At 43.4% G+C, this 23,598-nt stretch overlaps 1 long non-coding RNA gene across 9 annotated transcripts in view, besides 1 other annotated feature; it reads left to right on the top strand.

The window, feature by feature from the left end:
• Positions 1-14,799: 14,799 nt before the first annotated feature.
• CCDST (cervical cancer associated DHX9 suppressive transcript) overlaps positions 14,800-23,598 on the top strand; it is a 177,390-nt gene continuing 168,591 nt past the window's right edge. For 4 of the 9 annotated variants that reach the window (NR_186765.1, NR_186762.1, NR_186767.1 and 1 more), the window contains exon 1: positions 14,800-14,978. This is a non-coding gene — a long non-coding RNA (cervical cancer associated DHX9 suppressive transcript). Of the gene's footprint in view, positions 15,153-23,598 lie in introns of all 9 variants that reach the window. The other 5 variants (NR_186764.1, NR_186763.1, NR_186768.1 and 2 more) reach the window with 2 other exon arrangements.
• Positions 21,806-22,306: an enhancer, noted in NCBI's record as "H3K27ac hESC enhancer chr1:152168785-152169285 (GRCh37/hg19 assembly coordinates)". NCBI's record gives its function as "activates a minimal SCP1, AML or CMV promoter by ChIP-STARR-seq in naive H9 embryonic stem cells {active_cell/tissue: H9 hESC(naive)}" and the evidence as "EXISTENCE:reporter gene assay evidence [ECO:0000049][PMID:30033119]".

Here is a 23,598-nt window from a genome sequence, read left to right on the forward strand (position 1 = left end):
CCCATGAGTAGCTGGAACTACAGGCATGCTCCACCACACCCAATTAATTTTTGTATTTTTTGTAGACATGGGATTTTGCCATGTTGCTCAGGCTGATCTTGAACTCCTGGGCTCAGGTGACTCTCCCACCTTGGCCTCCCAAAGTAGTGGGATTATAGGCATGTGCTACAATGCCTGGCCTATACATGTTCTTTTATGATCCACCTCCTTCATGAAGCTTTCTGTAATTCCTCAGGCTCCTATTTATCTTCGTGTCTCTATTAATCACACTTTTACCAAATATTTATCGAGCTCTTTAAACTATGCTATGTACTTTACATCCATCCTCTCATTTGATGCTTACAACAAGCTTATGAGATAGATAATATTATCACTCTCATTTTATACATGAGGAAATTAAGGCTAAAAGAGATTAAATTATTTGTCCAAGGTCATAGAGGTAGAAAATAGTAGTGGTGAGATTTATATCCAGGCAGTCAGATCCCAGAACTTATGGGCCTAACAGTTGCAACCATACAGAGCTCCTATTTGGTATGGAGACAGCCACACTTTGTATCATTTACCCACAGATTCCTTCACCCAATATTTCCTAGATACTGACTATATTCAAAAGACCTTAAACAGTTTTAAAAGTTTATGTTAAAATTGCCCCATCTTCCTAGTGTCCCTGTGTGGAAATCTAATCTTGTCAACTTGACTGCAAGCTCCTTGAGGGTAGCTTCTTTATTCCTATCTCTCTTTTACCCTCTGCCCTTTTATCCTGTCCCAGTATGCTGGATGTAGATGCTCACCCAACTGATGGTCTTGATTGGATTATAGCACCTATAGTCTGTGACATGTGCAACAGATTCTCAAATTGGGGGAGAAGTTAGAAGTCTTCTGGTGAACTTCCCTGATTCCAAGTAGCCCCAACTACAGCTACAACTAAACCATTTAAGGCAACACAATAATTTAATTCAGGGGTTGGCAAATGATGGCCCATGGGACCAATCAAGCCTGCTGTTTTTGTAAGGCCCACGAGCTAAGAATGGTTTCACATTTTTCACTGATTGAAAAAAATCAAAAGAAGAATACTACTTTGTGACACTAAAAATTATATGAAATTCAAATCTTAGTGTCTATAAATAAAGTTGTATTGAAACACAGCTTTGCTTATTCATTACATAATATTGTATATGGCTGCTTTCATGGGACAACACCTGCTCAATGTTTCTGGGTGGGCTGAAAATTGCAGTACTGCTATTGTAATTTGACACCATTGGGAGTGCCACTTTATAGTTGTACCATAATGTTTTATTTTACTTTTTAATTACTAGTGCATGCCCATCATGTCAAAACAAAAAAAGAAGACAGAAATGGACTTCAAATGTCACACTTTCAAGGCAGGATTCTTTTGTTTGTAATGAATTAGATGGCAAAGCATTATGTTTATCATGCAATGACACTATAGCTGTGTTAATAGACTATATGTTGAAATGATCAGACTAAGCACTAATCACAATATTTCCAACTCACAGGAAGCAACAGTTAGAAAAATTAGGAAATTTAAAATAAAATATGTCATCATAGCAGAATTTCTTTATTAAAAAAATGAAAATGAGACTGCAACTAAAGTAAGTTTCTGAGTGGCTCATTTGTTAGCCAAACAAGTTAATCAATGGTGCATTAATTAAATCACGTTCAATTGCAGCAGCTGAAGAAATGTGTCTAGAGAAAATAAACTTGCTTAAGACAACCAGCTTTTGGGTGAAGAGTGAGGGAGGACATTGGGCTCAACATCAATAGTCAATTAAAAAATAAGGCACATGATTTTGAGTGATTTTCCTTGGTTCCTGATGAATTTACAGGATGTTTTTGACACTGTTTAGTTGTTTTTTTTAGGAATTAATGCTGAGTTTGAGATGACTAAATAATTAGCTTCCATAAAACGTTCATGTGGAACAATTATGTGCAGAGATGTTTTCAAAGTACAGAAAATACTAATTTCCTGAAGTGAAATCTAAGAAATGTTACAACTGATGCTAACATACATGTGGAGAAGAAAAAGGCTTTTGGAAAATGTTCAAAGCTTGTGAACATGCAGTGTTTAAAGCCTGTGATTGTTCATTGTACTATCCTTCAGCAGGTACTTTGCAGAAAATAGTTGAATCTTTCATATGCATTGAACCAGTGGTGTCAATGGAGAACTTCATTCACTCTTGTGACTTAACTATGGCCAGTTTTGTGATTTTGTTAATCAGATCTAGAAGCTGAATATCCTTACTTGTTGTACAGTGCAGCAGTTTCATAGCTTAGCAGTTGTAAAGTTTTACTGTGATGTTTTGAGCTCAAGGCTAAGATTGGATTTGTTTTTTGTTTTGAATGAGAAGAATCACCCTCATTCACTATTTTTTTTTTCTTAAACTTTCATTTTAAGTTCTGGGGTACATGTGTAGGATGTGCAGGTTTGTGACACAGGTAAACCTGTGCCATGGTGGTTTGCTGCACAGATCAACCCATCACCTAGGTATTAAGCCCAGCATCCATTAGCTATTCTTCTTTATGCTCTCCCTTCCCCCACCCACAAGGCGCCAGTGTGTGTGGTGCTCCCTGCCATGTGTCCATGTGTTCTCATTGTTCAGCTCCCACTTATAAGTGAGAACATGTGATGTTTGGTTTTCTGTTCCTGCATTAGTTTGCTAAGGATAACAGCTTCCAGCCCTATCTATGTCCCTGCAAAGGACATGATGTCATTCCTTTTTCTGGCTGCATAGTATTCCATGGTATATATGCACCACATTTTCTTTATCCAATCTATCATTGATGGGCATTTGGGTTGATTACATGTCTTTGCTATTGTGAATAGTGTCTGATGAACACATGTGTGCAAGTATCTTTATAATAGAATGATTATATTCCTTTGGGTATATACCTAATAATGAGATTGCTGAGTCAAATGGTATTCCTGCCTCTAGATCTTTGAGGAATTGCCACACTGTCTTCCACAATGCTTGAACTAATTTACACTTCCACCAACAGTGTAAAAGTGTTCCTTTTTTTCTGCAACCTCACCAGCATCTGTTGTTTCTGGACTTTTTAATAATCGCCATTCTGACTGGCATGAGATGGTATCTCATTGTGGTTCTGACTTACATTTCTCTAATGATAGTGATGTTGAGTTTTTTTTCATATGTTTCTTGGCTACATTCATTCACTATTTTTGCACACTAAATCGCTTTGGAAGTTAGCTTATGTGGCAGACTTAATAGTATTTCTTAATAAATTCAATCTAAAATTGCAAGGCAGAACAGTGCTTAAATGTGAAACTTATACAGTGGTAAAGTTATTTCAAAGACAACTAACATTGGTTGAGTAACAAGCAATGTTAGAGTGTTTTATATATTTCTTGTGCTGTCAAAAGTTAAAATAAAAAGTGGGGCCGGGCACGGTGGCTCACACCTGTAATCCCAGCACTTTGGGAGGCTGAGGTGGGTGGATCTTGAAGTCAAGAGATCAAGACCATCCTGGCCAACATGGTGAAACCCCATCTCTAGTAAAAATACAAAAATTAGCTGGGTCTGGTAGCGCGTGCCTGTAGTCTCAGCTACTTGGGAGGCTGAGGCAGAAGAGTCGCTTGAACCTGGGAGGTGGAGGTTGCAGTGAGCCGAGATTGTGCCACTGCACTCCAGCCTGGTGATAGAGTGAGACTCCATCTCAAAAATTAAATTAAATTAAATTAAAAAACAATAAAAAAATTAACAATAAAAAGTAGAATTTTTAAGGCTAGGCGTGGTGGCTCACACCTGTAATCCCAGCACTTTGGGAGGCCGAGGTGGGTGGATCACAAGGTCAGGAGATCGAGACCATCCTGGCTAACATGGTGAAACCCCGTCTCTACTAAAAAACAAAACAAAACAAAAAAAAGTGAAATTTTTATTCCACAGAAATTTTAGCTAATATATTTTTTGAGCTCAAATTATAGTTCCAGCAGTGTTTCTTGGACATCAATGCAAATGCAAAGCAAATTTCCATATTTCAAAATTCATTGCATTGTAATTAAAGAGCTTTCCCCCAACCTTCAATTGGAAGTGATTTGTCTTTAGTGTAATGACATGTTGTAAGGCAAATATCAAGTGATGAATCTTGTAGAGTTCTAGAAAGACCTTCAAAGTGATAAATATGCTCAAGTAAAATCAAATGTTTGTGGATATCAGTATTTGGCAGTATCTATCTGTGTGAAAAGACATTTAAAAAAATGGACTATGCGTTACTTATCAACATTAGCAGATGAACATTTGCAATAGATTTTGATAATAGGAGTTTGAGACCAGCCTGGACAACGTGGTGAAACCCTGTCTCTACTAAAAATACAAAAAATTAGGTTGCAGTGAGCTGAGATGGCGCCACTGCACTCCAGCCTGGGCAACAAGAGCAAATCTCTGTCTCAAAAAAAAAAAAAAAAAAAGATAATAGGGACAATGGCTTTGAACCCCAATTAGATGATATGTTACCCTCCCACCCCCCCAAAAACAGAATTCAATTTTTCTCATTGGTAGACCTGTATTACAAAAACATTGTATTCAATTATTATTATATTTTGGATTTTGCCAATAAAAATTGTGGAAATTTGTTTTCTCTCATCATATATAAGTACTTTTGTAATATCTTTGGTTCACAAATACTTAAAATCTTTACTATCTGGCTCTTTACAGAAAAAGTTTGCCTGCTCTGATTTATCAGAACAACAAACAAGCAGACAGACAATAACTCAAAGATTCCATTTTTTTATAGTTCACTTCTTGTCAGGAAATATATCCTTGAATCCCAGTTAAATCCTTAGTCTTGTGGTTTTAGTGATTTCTTTTTGTACTGCCATGCCATCCGTGAAAAGCAAGGTCATCACGCCATTGTGGAAATCAGTTTTAATTTGCTCTGAGTCAGTTCTATGTAACATAATAATGAAATAATGAAACCCTTTATTTGCAATAAAGATTTAGTTTCCTGAATGGGTCAAGCTGGTTCTTGATTTATGGGAACCATCTCCTCTAAAGTAGGGATGGGAAGGGTGGAGGTTGAGGATATCCGTTGTGCTTGAAGTGGTTGTGGATGGTAGTGAGTTCAGAGTCCCTTGAGCTACTGGGAGCAATGGAGTGAAGAGAACAAGAGGGAAGCCTCCCAGTGCCAGGAAGGAAGACAGGGCTCTGTGCAGGGATCAGGCATGGCCAGGACTTGGCTCAGTCCTCTTCCTGGGCCAGAGCTGCCAGTCTCTCTCTCTCTCTCTCTCTCTCTCTGCATTCCACTCCCTCCTCTTCCTATGTTCTTTTGCAAGTTTGTGTTCAGGAAGGGGAGAATAAAGAAGAGTAGCTCAGTTTAGGCCTGCCATATGGTGTGACTAAATGGTGAGCTATCTGAAGACAGAGACTTGACCTTACATTGCTTTGCATTCCCACTTATGTCTAAAAATAATAATCACAATAATGCTACATCCATAGTACTTTACATTTTACAAAACACTCTCATATTTAGTATTTCATTTGACCCTGTGAGGTACATGTGAGTTTTATAGATGAAGTTCAGAGAAGCTAAGTAATTAATCAAGATCGCATAGTCAGTATAATGCAGAGCTAGGACTTGAATCCAAAACTTCTACCTCCCAATCTGGTGCCCATTCCCCCTGCCTAGCACTATGCTGGACATAGATAGCTTCTGAGCCCTTGTTGGTTGATTGATTGGAGGACATCTAAGACTTTACTGCTCAAATGCTATTGTGCCAAAAGCCCTACCATTATATCTGCACATTGCTTTGTTGAGGCACCCTCTTTCAAAATATGGATTGACATATTAAGGCATTAACACTTTTAAAGTGAGTTCTTTTCTTTGCTTGCTTGCACCCAGAACAAGAATGTGAACTTTAGGAGTTTTGCTAGTAGAGAGAATAAGGCTTCTGAAAAGGTTAACAAGGTTGGCTGTCAGATTTTTCCTCTTTCACAGTTTTTCCTGGGGTCTTGCAAGACTTATATCACATGAAAACTTGTCCTTTTGTTCTCCTGGAGCATGGGAGAAACGAACTTGGAATCTTCCAGGTAATCTCAGTAACCGGTCTGCTGGCTGAACCTCTTGCAAGATGCAGGCCCACCTTGTCCTGCTCCTGCAGGGTGGCATCCGGCCTCTGCATGACCATTCAGTCTGATGGGAGACTGAATAAACTGTCCCACCCTGGGACAATTCTAGCCATGGGGTATATTCATCTGCTTGGAGCTACAATCTGCCTGGGACTTTTGCTTCTTGGTTCCCATTCTGCCTTCTAGAACAATGTAAATCAAGTCTCATGAATGCTTTCTCTGTGTGACATCAGGAAACAATAGGCCAGTCTCTTTCTTACACATCCTCATCTCAGTCTCTATAGCCTCTGTCATTTCAATCCTTTCTCACATAAGATCTCAAGAACATTCCCAATCCTGGCTGCCATCTCTGTATATGCTATAGCTTCTCAAATCCTCTCATAAAACATGGTACTCAGAACTGACTGGTACTCATTTGTTCATATGTTCATTTATTCAACATATATTTATGGAGCTTACTGCATCCCAAACCCTGGGCCAATTTCTATACAAGATCAGATTCAATTCCCGACTGTGGTGCTTAATTTAAGAATCAAATCATCACATGCAAAAATAATTACAAACTGTGATACATCCTGTGAAGAAGAAATGCAGCACATTTTTTTTGGGAGCTTCTTAACATTAGAAGTCAGCATTAAAGGAGAGCCTAGTGCTTCTGGCCTATGGAGACAGAACCCAGAGCTGCAGAAGCCCTAGAGGAGATTTAGGATGGCAAGTCCTGGGCTTTCAAGAGGGACCTAAGCACACTTTTTGACAACTCACTTCCAAAAAGTGAGGAGTTCCAGGTATTTTCAGATCTGGTGGATTATACCAGAGTCATTCTCTCACCTGTGGTCTCTCTGTCTCACCTCCTTTTCTTCTTATCTGTTGGGAAAGACACAGGGAGAGACAGGCCAAAGTTGCACAAGAAGTCTTGGGAAAGGTTTTGGAAGAGTTTTGAGCCATGGCTCCCTAGGTTCAGCCAGTTCTGGGGAATGCTATGTTTCGGAAAGCCTTTGTTTTTGTAGACATCAAGTGCTGATTCTCAGCAGAGGCAGGGCTACATCCCCTCTAATGTCTTTCCTTTGCCAGGATGGGCAAAGGCTGGCTCAGTCATCCCAGGCTGGCCTTCTGGCTATGCCTCCAAGCTCTGGATGTCCCCTCTGGCTGGGTGAATGGCAAAGGTCAGTGTGGCTCTTCCTGCTGGCCCTGGTGCAGCAACTGTCCTGGGTACAGGCTGGATGGCACATGCCACAGTGAAGTGAGGCCCTGCTCTGTAGAAACCTAGCCTCCTTCCCTTGTCTCATAAGTGACAAGAGACCATTCAATAGCTGCTATTGTTGCTACTCTTGTTTCTCTATTAACATCATTGCTGTCATTACTGCACACTGACTATTCTAATCACTAATAAGAGGAGTTTTATTTTACCCAGAAGCCTGATAGCTTACCCAGGTCAGAAATAGTCAGAGGCATTATAAAAGGGCTTGTCCTGATTGCTCTGCCTGTGGAGTAGTCATCGTTTTATTCCTTTACTTTCCTAAAGAACTTGTGTTCACTTTAAAAAAACAAGAAACAAACAAGGGATTGTCCTGAAGACTAAGGACCCCTCGAGTGACACAGCCAGAGCCAGTGACAGGGTTCTGACCTTCTAGAAAACGAGGCACATTGGGATGATAAGGCTGAATGGTCTCCATCATAGACTTAAATGGAGTTTAATCCCCATCCATGTGGTGGACCAGGGAGGAAGGGGCCCACTCCCAATATTCTCTTTTGCTCTAGGCACTAAAGACCAGGATTTGGAGTGTGACCTCATTATTAAAAGGCAAGGAGTATATAAGGCCCAAAGAACTTGAGATCTGGGCCAACAAAAAAAGAGGCAAAAAGTCTGGAAGAGAACACAAGAATAGGAGTCCTCTTTGAGGCTAATCTGAAGTCACACATTATGAAGGTGACTTGTTTTCCCTGCTTGCTTTACCGAAAACCTTCCAAGAAGTAATTTCTCCAGCTATGCTTTGGGGACAGTTGAATGAGTCTATAGTGCCTCCTTGAGGAAGCACCTGGAAACAACCACCCTGAAATGAAATCAGTGTAGATTCATCTGTAGGCTTGGAAATTATAGTAAGTGATAAGCACTTGTTAACATGTTGTTGGGGGATGTTGGGGTAACAAGGACTAACAAAAAAGTCACCACGCTGTTTTTCAAAAAGGAGAGTGAAACATGTTTATTTCCCTTAGCAGTATTCAGGGAAAGGACATTCTGGTTCTTTAATTTAAAATATCTCTGAAAGTGAAAAATTCTCTGTCCTGACCCTCTGTTCCCCTGTAAACTTCTGATACATGGTGTAGACATCTGCGTGATCTTGTGCATTATGACAGGCACATCACAGTGTCCCGGACGGATGATGAGGCCCAGTGTCTATTACATGTGAATATTGGTGTCTGGCTTGCCAGGGGATGCTGAGTGTGGCTAGTGTGAGTCAGCATCCTGGAGCCCTGAGTCCCCTGGGTGAACCCATGGGCTGGCTCCTCAGCAATCAGCTTACCAGTGGAATAAACTCAGGTCAGATTATTCCACTGAAATGGCAGCTAGTTTGTATGCTAGCTTTGCAGCTTTCTGGGTGAACCAACTCTAGCTTCAAGTTGCTACAAGTTCACTGTTACATTTGGCATTGTGTTAAGGAATCAGGCACCACTGAGTACTTGTAAGAGGAATGTTGTAATAAGTGTCAGAAAAACTGGGCTCACATCCCAGTCCTTTCACTGATCAGCCATATATTGTTGGGCAGATCACTTTACCTCTATATTTTCTAGTTTTCTCAAATACACAACAGCTAGGGGTGGGAAGAAAAAAAGAGGACATCGTTCCCATTCAAGTCTAACAATCTTGGCACTAAGGTGCCTTGGGCATGGTCTTGGCAGTGCCTTGGGAGTCAAAGGAGATTACCCATTTCTCCATACTAATCACAGGCTCATGGAGTTGCTCTGGAATTTGGCATTTCCAGTGTGTTTTGCTCTAGGCCCTTCCCCTGTGGTCTTCATTTTATGCCAAGTTTCATCTCCTACCATTATGACCAAAAGTGTAAATAAAAACGTATAGTTGCTCACCAGTTCCTAAAGAGACCCCTTTGCAGAGGTGTCTGAGATTTTTATTTCTCAGATCAGGGCCTAAGCTATGAAGGAAGTGAGTGGGAAGAGCCCCTATGTTAGAGACAAGGTGACAAAATAGCTGGCGAAGCTATTACCAGAGTAATTGGACCCGCAGGCTGGGTAGATTTGTGTTTGGTTGCTTTTTAGTTGTGACCTGGCATAGAAGGCAGTTCAGCACCTTGCTCAGAGCTGATACTCAGTGAAGATGTGTTGAACTGAGACCAGGGCAGCAGAATTGGCAAGATCATGTGCTCCCAGGGCATAAACCTACTTCAGGGTTGTATGTTTGTGTCTCCCCCAATGGTGGTGAAGCTGCTGTACTGTCATTGAACTGTGTATGGAGTAGGCACTTAATGGCTTCTAAAGTGGGCCTGGGGCCTGATGGTGTTCTGACTGCCTTCTATAGGAAGTGTAGGCTCCTAGGCTTTTTGACTGGACTGGCCTGAAAGTGGCAAGGTGGGAGGCAGGCTCCTATGGAACAAGATGGGACTGGTCCTGTCCTGGGAGGCTTGGTGCAAAGGACAATGGAAGCCAGCGTCTGGGAGGCCAGTGACTTATTGAATGATGTACACCAATAAGACCAGACAGAGGTACAGGAAGAATCTTCTCCAAGAGTCCTCACTGGTGCAGAGTGCTTTAGCACAGATGACTCCAGATGCCATTGCCTTTGAGCTGTCCTTGAGCTCATCTCGGGAACTCCTTTAGGAGGACTCTGAGTCTTAGGTATGAAGCTCTGTTTTTGTTCATTCAATGCAGGGAGATGGAAAAAAAGAGGAAACATGGGAACGATGGAGATGGGAGGGAAAGGGGAAGTAAGAGGAGAGAGCAAAAGGGGCAAAGAGGGGAGCAGAGAGATGGGGAGAGAGAGAGAAAGGTGGAGGGAAAGCAAGGGGAAGAGAAGAGATGAGAAGGGGATCTGATGACACCCTAGGGCAGCTATAGAGTCAGGGGAGGTCCAGGCTATGGAGGTTTCTGTACCCATGTCTCCCTTTGCTTTCTTAGTTTTGTTCAGCCTGAGCCTCATCCCAAGATCCAGGGTCCTGTGCCATGGATTATACCACCCATGTGTGTCTACACCCAGAGCCCGTATTGCCACTGAGGAGACAGACATATGCCATTTTTCAAAGTAGGAGCTCCTTAGGGTAGGGGGCAATGATCTAACATGAACATAAAATCCCACATACAGAATCCACACAAGCCTCTCAAATTTGTCACCACTGGGGCAAATTCAACAAGCATTCACTGTGTAAGCTGCCATGTGTAGTGCTGGGAGGAAAGCCAGAGTTCCTCCCTCAAGGAACTTATGATTTAGTGGTGGTGGGGTAGTGTGCCCTTGTGTAAGCAAGAGAAATACATAGGTGTAGTGCAAGTGTGAACATTCTTTGTGTCTAATGATGGACTCCATGCTATAAGTACTCAGTGTTTACCAAGAAGAAAGATGCATATAGTTACCTCTAGGTTTGTTAACAGCTAGATCTAAGACAGGGAAGAGAGGATGTTTGCATTTGGGATCCCTGCTCTGCACTGAATGCTGCCCAAACTACTTCTGTGCTCACCAGGAGAGGACCATTAAAGGCAAAGGGAAGAAATACATCTGGGCTTGCTGGTCTAAGCTGAGAATTTCAGGGCTGACATCTGAAGGCAGAGCCAAGAAAAACTTCTAAGCAGTGAAAAACGCCAAACCCTGGGCTTGAGCTTCAGGGAGACTGAGGGGCAATTTAAATCTCTTTTCTGGTGGAGTAGAGGATCCTTTTATGGTTGGGATGGCTCGTGTTATCCTTCAAGGAGGCAGAGGTATGATGGTATGTCAGGTTCCTCCTGGGCCTGATTCTTTCTTTGAAATTTGCTTCTTCTATCCCTGAGGCACTTTGGAGTTGAGACTGAATAATAACCAGCCACACAAACCTGGGTTCTACCACAGAGTTCATCGTTAACAAACCGCGTGCCCTTGGGCTGGTAACTTCTTTCTCAGTTAAAGTACCCATCTGTTGACTTAGGAGCCAGAGGGTGTGTGAGTGTCTGTAGACACCTGGTGGCAGTTTGGAGGAATTACGTTCAGTATCATCAGGGAGCAAATCCCTGTGCATGCTGTTCAGGAGTGTCCCAAGTGCCCAAAAGAGCTTCCTGGGTTTGGAAGCTGAACTAGTCAATCTGATATCAGTTTGAGGAGCTCATCCTGGGAAAAGAGTCCTGTTTTTAAAGTCATGTTTGTCCAGAAATTCGTCCTTGTTACTGGCCCAAATGTTTACATTTGATTTAATTTTACCATTCCCACGGCCTCTGCAATCAATTTCCTTTCTTGGTTCTATAGATTTTATTCTAGAGGCAAAGTCCTGGGGGATTTAGGAGTAACACAGTGTCTTACACACAATAGAAGTTTTATGGTGCTTACCAAGTGTCTTTCAAGTTCTTACTATTATCCCCATCTTGTAGATGGAAAAATTAGGGCACAGAGAGGTTAAACAACCTACCCAAGGCCACACAGCTAGTCAGGGACATCAGCAGGATTTGCACCCAGACAATTTAACTCCATAATCTCTACTTTTAACTTTCTTAACAACTGTTGACGGATGAACAGACGGGTGTAATTTGAGAGGCCCTGAAAAAGGTCTTACTCCAAAATATACTTTCCACTGAGGTAGTATAGTTATATAATGTCTACCATAAAGCACTGCCCTTTTTCTGTTTCTTATAGTGCTTTTTAAAGTATAAATAGCCTATGAAGGGTTATATTAGCCCTTTAGTGTGAATTTATTCATTAGATGTTTTATATTGTCTTGTTTAATAAGTGCTAGAAAGGGCTAGAAGGAATTACTGTGTTCTGCAAAGGGATCTCAGTAAACGGAACTGTTTTATTTCTTTGCCCTTGTTCTGAACTGTACTGAAAAATAGAAAGAAAATGTGGTGCTCAAAATGTCATCTTTTTTATTGATAGTGATTAAGTAAGACATTAGTAGCGCTAGGTCTGCTAGCTGGGGCTTGCTCATACTAGAACTGAGAATTAGGCTAACTTACCCACCTAATCATGACAGGCCTGGGCATCCTTGCCTAAGAGTAAGTCCCTATTATGCCATAGGGATCTCTGCAGTTCCCAAGTAGAAGCAGAGTAGAGCTAAGCCAATTATTCTTACAAAATTTACCAACCAGTTAAGTCCTTCTACCATCTCAGGGGCAAGGAGAAGAAAGGAGTGAAAAGAGGCCAGGAGTGGGGAAAAGGCGCTCACCTCTAGTAGAGACCTTAGACATCACCTAATCAAGCCTTCTCATCATACAGATACAATGGAATTCCAGAGAAGGGAAGGGACTTTGATAAACTAAGGTTGCGAGCTGTGAAGGGGTTGAGTCACGACACTGGATATGCTGATTTGGCTGCCAAGCTCCTTCAACATTCCACCACAATGCCCTTTTCCAGGAAGAGTGAGCAGTGGGAGTGCTTTAGAACCTGGCATCCAAGGGACCTGGTGGGAAGGGGGAGTGAAGAAGTAAAGCTACAGCAATATGCCCAGTGAATAGGTCCTAGGGTGAGCCCTCAGCACTTTGGATACTGGAGTCAAGCCCTCTTTCTTCTGCTGTCCTCCTTGAAGCTCCACTCAGTGTCAGAGAGGGAAGACTATTTAAGATCACCCACCATATTAGTAGGATTTCTCAGAAACAGAACCAACAGCATGTGTATTTATAGAAAGAGATTTATTACAAGGAATTGGCTGATGTGAATATGGAAGCTGGAGAGTCTAAAATCTGCAGTGTAGGACAGCAGGCTAGAAACTTGGGAGAGCTGATTATACACAATCCTAAGGCAGTCTGCTGGAGAATTTTCTCTTGCTCAGGGATGCTAGTCTTTTTGTTCTATTCAGGCCTTGAACTGATTGGATGAGGCCCACCCCATTAGGGAGGGCAATCTGCTTTACCCAAAGTTTACTGATTTAAATGTTAATCCCATCTAAAAATATCCTCTGAAATGTGAAAGGGAAGTTCACTATGCCAAAAGAAAAAAATTAAGCAGAAGGTAAGTCATGCAAGCAACGGCCTTTCCTTTTGTTCCTAGGCCCATAGCTACTGATAAAAGATTAAATATCTCCACTCTATGTTCACCCTACCTTGTGTAAAGCACCGATTTACTGAGCATGAGACGGAAACATAATTGACTATTCCCTTACCTTCTTCTCCTTTTATCTTGCAATATGTGGATTTAGTAATGTGACCCTACCCTCCCTATTTCTTCTCCACCCTGCTTTCACCCTTTAAATATTGAAGTCCTAAAAAATTATCATTGGGGAAAGCACAGACCTGTTTCTGGAGTGGTCCTTAACCTTGGCAAAATAAACTTCTAAGGTGATTTGAGACCCGTCTCAGATAATTTTTGGTTTACAAAATTCACACATAAAATTAACTACCACACCCGTTTTTTCCCTTGATTGACTCTGTGAGACTGAGTTTTCTCCTTTAGTCATCTGAGTACCACCTTCAAGATTTTTGCAATATCTGTGTATATATAATAATAATATTCTTATTTATTTATTTAGAGACAGAGTCTCGCTCTGTTGCCCAGGCTAGAGTGCAGTGGCGCGATCTCGGCTCACTGCAACCTCTGCCTCCAAGGTTCAGGAGATTCTCCTGCCTCAGCCTCCTTAGTAGCTGGGATTACAGGTGCGTGCCACTATGCCCGGCTAATTTTTGTATTTTTGGTAGAGACGGGGTTTCACCATGTTGGCCAGGCTGGTCTTGAACTGCTGACCTCATGTGATCCACCCACCTCGGCCTCCCAAAGTGCTGGGATTAGAGGCATGAGCCACAATGCCCGGCCTAATATTTTTGAACCAATGTTAACTACTCACTTAAGAATTTAGCCTTACACTAATATTTGAGATAACCGGTTTGTTGGGCTGGTTTTAGTATTTTCTAACACAAATAAGAATAAATACTCAAACATTCTTAAAAAGTGCATGTAGCACTTAAGACTATCTTGGTACTCCATTTGGGAAACCATGTAGCCAAGGCTGTTGGGGCGAACCAAGGTGGTGGGAGTCCGACGGGCCAGCAGGGGGCGCACTTGCAGGTCACCTGAAGTCCTTATTTACGGGATAAGGTGGAGGCTGAGGAAAGTCTTTCAGAGGCCGGACGCTGGCACTGGACGGAGTAGGGAACCCTAGCCGTTATCCCACCAAAGGGTCCCAGCGCCTAGAGGGGCTGCGGAAAGCTCCTACAATACGAGGAGCCCTTGGAGCCCAGAGCGGGATCCTGCGAGCCGAGGCCCCGTTCTCTGTTAGGATCACGGGGACTGCCCCAGGCAGCTGCTGGGCCCGGTCGCGGACCTCGGCCAGAACATCCTCCCAGAACACAGAGGAATCTGACATCAGTGGCCTCCCTTGGTAGAGGTGGGGAGCCGAGGGGCGGCAGTGTGGAAGGGCCATCGGCCTAGGTCTTTCGTATCCCCTCCGGCCTCTCGGGGCTGTGCGTTCGGAAACAGCGAAAGGAACGGCCTCAGGAATCTGGCCTCAGCCGGAGCACTGGTGAACACAGGCTCCCGTCGCGCCAAGGGAAGTAGGAAAAGCTGCTTCCGGGCGGAGGGGCTGCACTTCCGGGGCCCGCGTCCCCCGGCGGCTTCGCCGAGAAGGGGCTTTGGGAGCTTAAGGGCGCCGGCACGCGTTCCCCTGGCGCAGAGCTCGCTAGCCGGGGCGCGGGCTGCCTCCTTGTTCTGGTGTGATCCGAATGTAACGGAGCGGACTTTGGGATCCAGAACCCCGGACTGAGGTTGTGCTTGGCTTGAGGGGCGGGCTGGTAGGTCAGCCCCCTTGGGGCGTCGTTGGTCCTCTCCAGGCGTGTCACATTCTGCCCGCACATGGTGCCTTGGTACTCCCCAAAAGTCATGCCTTGATTTTTCTTACTAATAATAGTTTACACTGTTTTACCGCTTCACTGCTTCACGTAAGTAAAGTAATTATTTCAAAAGGAAATGTTGGTCATTTATAAAATGGTGGTAAAGATGGTACAGCGGATTAATGTGAGGATTAAATGAGATGATACATGAAAGTGCTTAAAACAGTACAGGGTACTTACCGTTATTATTGTTAAGTAGAAAGTGAGTTCTGGGAAACAGTGGGTGTATGGTCCTTCACAGCAGGTTTTGGAAACGTCTGATTTCCAGCCTACCCTCCTTCCTCCTGTTGCCGTCTGTTGCCTGATTGTTCTCACTGGCTGAAAGGAGATAATCCCTGCCACTCCATTCATCACTGAAAATTCTTGTCAGTTTGGTTGCTTAGGTACCTACTAAGAGTTGCCAGCAGGTGGCCCCAGAGCACGCGGTTATGTTTGTCTTTTTGGGTCCCATGTTTAATTAGTAATTTAGTAGGGACGTATTGAATACTTATTCCACACTATGGTACACTGTACCAGGGGATATAGGGATGCCTGAGGGTGTGGGAGGCCGACCCTGGTCTCAGGGAGAATATAAATGATTTATTATTCTGGTCTTTCACAAGATTTTGGCCTTTTTAAAGATCGATTCATGTATTCATTCAACAAATATTTATTGGATGTTTACTCTGTTCCAGTTTCCACTCAGAGATGTGAAGTATATCAATGAATAGAATAGACAAAGATCTTTGCCTTCATAGAGATCACATTCTAGCACACAACAATAAAGATAATAAATTATGTAAAATGTTAGAAGTGTTATGAAAAAGAAAAAATGTAGACCAGTGTTTGTGTGTGTGGGTAGGGTTGGTGGGATGGGCAGGTTGCAGTATGAAATAGAGTGGTTAGTATTAAATAGGCTTCATTAGGAAGGCAAGATTGAGCAAAGATTCAAAAGATGTGAGGAAATTAGTCAGATCTGGCGGGAAGTGTGTTCTAGATATGAAAAAATTGGAGTTATTACATTTACTCCTTTAAAGATGAGGTAATTGAGGTTCAGATAAGTAAAGTAACTTGTTTAGGGTCTCATAAGAGGTTTCTAACAAAACTGGTCTGGTTTCATGTCCTCATTTCCAGTCGTGTTCATTCACCAGATCACATTACCACTTGGTGTTTTTAGGGTGATGGAGACTTCACAATACATAACTTGCTTAAATCATGACTAAGGTTATCTTGGCATACTTCCCATCATTGGGTAATACCAAATTCTCTGTGATCTTTCTTTTTTTACATAATCAGTAAATATTTATTTTGCTAACTGGTGTGGAGGATAGAAATGAGGCATAAAGCCTGTCTCCTGCCCGTAAGGGACAAATAATCTATACATAACCATTTTGGCCTTCATCTCTTTTTCATCTACTTTCCCCATTTCCCCCAAGACAAGCCCACTGATAATCTGTACCTACAGCTTAGAATTAGGTCAGGTCCTTAAACTTGGTCACCCATTCTTGGTTTGTAGGTTCCAGAATTTCACTGGATTCCTTTTGCTGACAGTTGTTGTGCCTCTGGTTATCCCCCAAGTCTCTACTCCCTTTATCCTGTGTTGAACTTGTCTATGAGACTGAGCTTATGCTATGCTTTTCACTCCTCAATTAGATATCCCATCTGGATCCTTAGTTCCCCTCTAGAACTGCCTCCTTGTCTCTTGTAGTCTCAGTTGTTGATCTTTCCACTTGAGTGGAGACTTTGCATTGCTCCTATTTGGGAGTTGTGCCCCTTGTTCGCTGTGCTTGCTCCCCTTGAGCTGCCTCTCTGAGCCTGAGTCAGTTCTCTTCACCTCTGGCCCAGGGAACTCTGGACATGTGCCACACCCCTTTCCCTTCATGCCTACACTTGCTGGGAGGATATTGTGGTGCCTTGTGTTAAAAGTCCTGGGTTATGGCATATGTGAAACAGCCGCGAAGGACAGAAGACTATTTTTACGTAATTAATTGCCTGGGAACTAGTTGTTTAAAGGAGAAGGGTGTTCGGTAAGCCTGAGTGGGTAAGAATGAGGAAGGTGGAACTTGAGCCTGGTCTTGAGGGATGGGTAGAATTAACAGGTGTAGGGGAGAGAACAGGGTTGGGGGTGAACTTGTTATGTTGTGAGCCAGTAAGGAGATTAGCCTAAGTGGAATGGAGAAGATGTGTTTGGGAGTGGTGGTGGGAAGAGGATAGATAGGCAGGGCTGGATTGGAGCAGAGCCTGGAGCATCAGCTTGAGAAGTTTGCATTACAACATCATAAATTATTTTTAAATATTTTATGGTTCTTGGGAAGCTGGCATGAAGGCACAATGACAATGTGTCATTAAGATCTGTATATCTACCTGCCTATCTTTGATCATCTCAAATTTGCTTTGTCCCTGAATGCCCCATATGAAAGAGGTTCCCTTGGTTATTTTTTCACAGCATTGTGTTCCTTACTTATTTACTTTTTCAGTTTTTTCTAGTGTGCCCTAGAATGAATGTTGCCAGGAGGCAAGGACTTGTTCTGCCTCCTTGTTGAATGCCCAGAATGTACAACAGTTTCAGATACACATTCAATGCTTTAAAAATATTTGTTGAATGAATGAATGCCCTGAGCTAAGTTTATTTCTTTAAACCTGATCTATTCTACCTTCTGAATTCTTGAATTCTGTTAGTGCTAACACCATCCATTTGGTCTGCTAAGTTGGATACTTGGAGTCAATTTTGATGAAGACATGAGTACAGGTCTTGACCATTCTTAAACTTTACATGAGGATTGTATTCCCACTGAAGCCTTGTTTTTTACTCCATTATGCCAAGTTAACACAATGTAACGTGTTGCATTTTCAATATGAAGACAGAAAACATCAAACATGAACAGTGAGGCTAAAGGAATGAGAAGTTATTGGGAGCCAGGGCCATGGGCAAATTGTAAACTGTGTGTATCTAAATGTAACCATCATATTATCTGTTCTGTCCTCTTCCAAGGGGAAGAATCATGTAATGGTTAAGAACATGGTCCCTGGAGTTAGGCTGCCTGGGCTCAAATTCTGGCTCAGCCACTTACTAGCAGTGTACCCTTGGGAAAGCTGCTTAACTTCTCTGTTTCTCAGTTTTCTCATCTATAATATATGGGTAAGAATAATACTTACAGAGTTATTGTGAGGATTAATATGTGGGAAGTTCTTAGAGCAGTGCTAGCATATAGTAAATGCTCATCAAATGTTATTATTAGCTATATTAGCTATTATTAGCTGTTAATATTTAGTGGGCCATTGAAACAACATAGGCTCTATTGCCATTTGGGCTGCTGATCTGAAACAGGTGGCCAGACTTCATTGAGGGATGACCTTTGCAAGGTGTGATTGAGGGTATGGGATTGAAGGAAATTTGGGATTTTTTGAGTGAGGACTGAGTTCCTGCAGGAGATATAGTCACCCCAAAGGGAGTTACCAGGTCCAGATGGAATTATTTCCAGTGGAATGTGCACACAAATTCTTTGACACAAGTAAGGAAGTATTACTACTTAGTTATCTATATGTGAATCTGCACAGAAAACTGAAAGAACTCTGTTGCTACCTTGCTTTTGCTTTTTTGAGGGAGAAGACAATCAAGTGTGAAGCCAGGCAAACCTTTGAACATTGTTATTAAGGCAGAAAAAGCCTTCTTCCTCTACTTTCCCATCCTCTCCTTCCTCACTGTCTGTTTCTCCCTCTCTGTAAACACAATGGGACATTTCATTTCAAGAGTGTGTCTTGTTGAGGTGGGGCAGAAGGGTTTGGTGGTTTTATCAGACTGTTTAACCATAAAACGTTTTTCATCCCTGTGTTCCTGTGCCCCACCATTTCAGGCACTTGGTATTTTTACTGCCTCACCCCCATCAACAGAGAAAAGGTGGATTTGATGTCATTTATTATATACTTTAAAGTAATTTTATTTTGCTGAATTTGTAAATACATGCAAATGAAATATTTTAGAGCTACAAAAACAACCATGGCCAGATATGTATGAACGAGGTCTTTCCCAGTCCCCCTCTGGGTTTTGCACAGATTTATTCTGAGGGTCCCTTAGTCCAAACTGGGGGATCCGCAGACAAAGAGATCAATATTTTTCTCTTCTAAATTCAAAAGGCAAGGTGCAGGTATGAGACATTAAAGTTTGAAAGAAGACGCTACTGGGAACATTTTTTTCCTTCTACTCCACCCCTATCCAGAATAGAAAAAAGACCATCTAAACAAGAGTGGAGAGGAGTTTGGAGAAAAAGTAGAGTAGGTTGTAGTGTATGGGCTGGGCCTGTGCTCTTCCCTTGCCCCAGACTGAGTGTGAGGAGTGGTGAATAAGAACACCACAAACCTGTCTGTACGTATGGGAATCCCAGAGCTGAGAGGACACGTGTCTCCTTTTCTTAGTGTCACCAAGATGACTGCAAACCCTGTAGAGAGGCCCTTCAGTGCTGTGGAGTGGAAAACTTGGTTTCACATGTTTGGCCTTGCTTGTTGGAGAAATTCAGACCCCTGAGTTTCTCTTAGCCCTAAAATGGCATGAGAGGACATCTGAAATTATCAATTATTCTTGTTCCCTTCTTAGATTCTTGCTTGTCTTCCTTTTCATCATTCTGATCTATCTTTAAGAGAGGTCACTTTTCAAATTCTATCTTTAAGAGGTTTTAGGTCTCAATATATTGGGTTTTCCCTTCAATATGGGTCCATTTTGGACTCTAAACCTCAAGTTTCCTTTTATGTGGTTCCCTCTTTACATTTATTCCTTGATACTTTCCCAGACCTGTTTCCAGAACCAAAACCATCTCTTCATTTAAAATATTCTGAAATTTCTTTATCTACTCCCTTAAGTCATTTCACTCTTTCTGAGCCAATTTGATTTTCCAAGATTTTACTGATTGGCCCTTAGCTTTGTGATAATGTCCTTCAGCATTCCTTCCTCTTTGGTGCAGTTGGCAGTTTCATGTCCAATATATTAGGGCCCCAGTCATCACTGCCATTCTTTTCTTTTCTCTTCTCTTCTCTTTTCCCTTTCTTTTCCTTTCCTTGCCCTGCCCTCCCCCATCCCCCCTCCTCACCCCTCCCCATCCCCCTCTCCCCTCCCCACCCCCCCTTTCTTCTTTTCTTTTCTTTTCTTTTTTTTTTTTTCCTCTTTTGAATATTTAATTTGGAATGAAATTGGCAATCATACAATATAACAATTGTATATGTTCAGGTTTAAAAGATAGAGTCAAACACTTTTCCAAATTGATGGTAACAGTTTATGTTCCCAAGAGCAGTGTATGAATGTTCCAGTTGATCTACATTCATGATGTTTGTCTTTTTTATTTTAGCCATTTCAATGGATGTGTATTGGTATACTATCGTGGTGTTAATTTCCTGTTCTCAATTGACAAGTGAAATGGACTACATTTCACATGCTTCTTAGCCATTTGGATATCTTTTTTGTGAAGTGCCTGTTCAAGGTGTTTGCCCATTTTTCTTTTTTCTTTTTTTGGAAAGGAAAAAATAAATCTCTCTTTGCTAGAAGATTTATAATCACCTATATACAAAATAAAAAAACTATTTAAAACGCTACTAGAAATAATAAGTGAGTTTAGGATAATTTGAGGATAGAAACTCAATATACCAAAATCAATTATACTTCTACATACTAACAGTGAACAATCAGAAAGTTTAAAAGTTTAAATGCTATTTACAATAGCTTCCAAAATCATCAAATACATAGAAATAAATCTAACTGAATCTGTGCAAGATTTGTATAATGAAAATTACAAAACCCTGAAGAGAGAAATTAAAGAATACTTAATAGAGAGATATACTATATTATTGGATTAATATTGGGAAGATGTCAATTCTGCCCAAATTGATCTTTAGATTTCTTTCTTTCTTTTTTTTTTTATTGATCATTCTTGGGTGTTTCTCACAGAGGGGGATTTGGCAGGGTCATAGGACAATAGTGGAGGGAAGATCAGCAGATAAACAAGTGAACAAAGGTCTCTGGTTTTCCTAGGCAGAGGACCCTGCGGCCGGCCTTCCGCAGTGTTTGTGTCCCTGGGTACTTGAGATTAGGGAGTGGTGATGACTCTTAACGAGCATGCTGCCTTCAAGCAGCTGTTTAACAAAGCACATCTTGCACCGCCCTTAATCCATTTAACCCTCAGTGGACACCGCACATGCCCCAGCAAGCACAGGGCTGGGGGCAAGGTCACAGATCAACAGCATCCCAAGGCAGAAGAACCCCTCCCAGTACAGAACAAAATGAAGTCTCCCATGTCCACTTCTTTCTACACAGACACAGCAACAATCTGATCTCTCTATCTTTTCCCCACCTTTCCCACTTTTCTATTCCACAAAACCGCCATCGTCATCATGGCCCATTCTCAATGAGCTGTTGGGTACACCTCCCAGACGGGGTGGTGGCCGGGCAGAGGGGCTCCTCACTTCCCAGAAGGGGCAGCTGGGCAGAGGCGCCCCCCACCTCCCTCTTGGATGGGGTGGCTGGCCGGGCGGGGGCTGAACCCCCACCTCCCTCCCGGACGGGGCGGCTGGCGGGGCGGGGGCTGAACCCCCACCTCCCTCCCGGACGGGGCGGCTGGCGGGGCGGGGGCTGAACCCCCACCTCCCTCCCAGACGGAGTGGCTGCCAGGCGGAGACGCTCCTCACTTCCCAGACGGGGCGGCTGCCGGGCGGAGGGGCTCCTCACTTCTCAGACGGGGCGGCTGCCGGGCGGAGGGGCTCCTCACTTCTCAGACGGGGCGGCTGCCGGGCGGAGGGGCTCCTCACTTCTCAGACGGGGTGGCTGCCGGGCGGAGGGGCTCCTCACTTCTCAGACGGGGTGGCTGCTGGGCGGAGACACTCCTCACTTCCCAGATGGGGTGGCTGCCGGGCGGAGGGGCTCCTCACTTCCCAGACGGGGTGGCTGCCGGGTGGAGGGGCTCCTCACTTCTCAGACGGTGCGGCTGCCGGGTGGAGGGGCTCCTCACTTCTCAGGTGGGGCGGCTGCTGGACGGAGGGTCTCCTCACTTCTCAGACGGGGTGGCCGGGCAGAGACACTCCTCACCTCCCAGACGGGGTCGCGGCAGGGCAGAGGCGCTCCCCACATCTCAGACGATGGGCGGCCGGGCAGAGACGCTCCTCACTTCCTAGACGGGATGGCGGCCGGGCAGAGGGGCTCCTCACATCCCAGACGATGGGCAGCCAGGCAGAGACGCTCACTTCCCAGACGGGGTGGTGGTCAGGCTGAGGCTACAGTCTTGGCACTTTGGGAGGCCAAGGCAGGCGGCTGGGAGGTGGAGGTTGTAGCTAGCCGAGATCACGCCACTGCACTCCAGCCTGGGCAACATTGAGCACTGAGTGAACGAGACTCTGTCTGCAATCCTGGCACCTCAGGAGGCTGAGGCTGCTGGATCACTCGCGGTTAGGAGCTGGAGACCAGCCCGGCCAGCACAGCGAAACCCCGTCTCCACCAAAAAAATATGAAAACCAGTCAGGCGTGGCGGCACGCGCCTGCAATCGCAGGCACTCGGCAGGCTGAGGCAGGAGAATCAGGCAGGGAGGTTGCAGTGAGCCGAGATGGCAGCAGTACAGTCCAGCTTCGGCTCGGCATCAGAGGGAGACCGTGGAAAGAGAGGGAGAGGGAGACCGTGGGGAGAGGGAGAGGGAGAGGGAGAGCGAGAGCTTTTCTTTCTTTCTTTCTTTTTCTTTCCTTCCTCCCTTCTTTCTTTCCTTTTCTTTCCTTCCTCCCTTCTTTCTTTCCTTCCTTCTTTCTTTCCCCTCTCTCTTTCCTCTCTTTCTTTCTTCTTCTCCTCTTCCTCCTCCCCCTCCTCCTCCTTCCCCTTCTCCTCCTTCTCCTTCTTTCTTCTTTCTTTCCTCTTCTTCCTTCTTCTTTCTTCTTCTTTTTTCTCCCTTCCCCCTTCCTTTTTCCCCTTCCCCCTTCCTCCTTCCTTCTCTCTCCTTTCTCCCTCTTCTCTTCCTCCTTCCCCTCCTTTCTTCTCCCTTTCTTCTCTTCCTCCTCCTCCTCATCTTCTTCTCCTCCCCCCTCCTCCTTTCTTTCTTCTCCTTCTCCTCCTCCTCTTTCTTTCTCTTTCTTTCCTTTCTTTCCTTTATTTCTTCCTCCTCCTCCTTCTCCTCTTCCTTTCTCCTCTTTTCTTCTTTCTTTTTCTTTCTTCCATTTGTTCTTTCTTCCTCTCTGTCTCTCTTTCTTTCTTTTGTCTTTCATTCATTTGTTCTTTCTTTCTCTCTCTTTCTTTTTTCTCTCTCTTTTTTTTTCATTTGTTGTTTTCTTTCTCCCTTCCTTCCTTCCTCTTTTCTTTCTCCCTCCTCCTCTTCATGATCCTCCTTCTCCTTCTTGTTCTTTTGGCTTATTGGTAAAATCTACTGCTCCTTTCTGATTGAACCCATAGCTTTGGGTCAATGAATTACAAAGTTAGAGTTTCAGTAGGATTTTTGAAGTAACTACCTCCTCACCTTAACCGAAACTAGACTTTTCCTGAATGATACTACTTTTCAG

Source organism: Homo sapiens, chromosome 1 (assembly GCF_000001405.40).
Source record: "Homo sapiens chromosome 1, GRCh38.p14 Primary Assembly".
Taxonomy (NCBI): domain Eukaryota; kingdom Metazoa; phylum Chordata; class Mammalia; order Primates; family Hominidae; genus Homo; species Homo sapiens.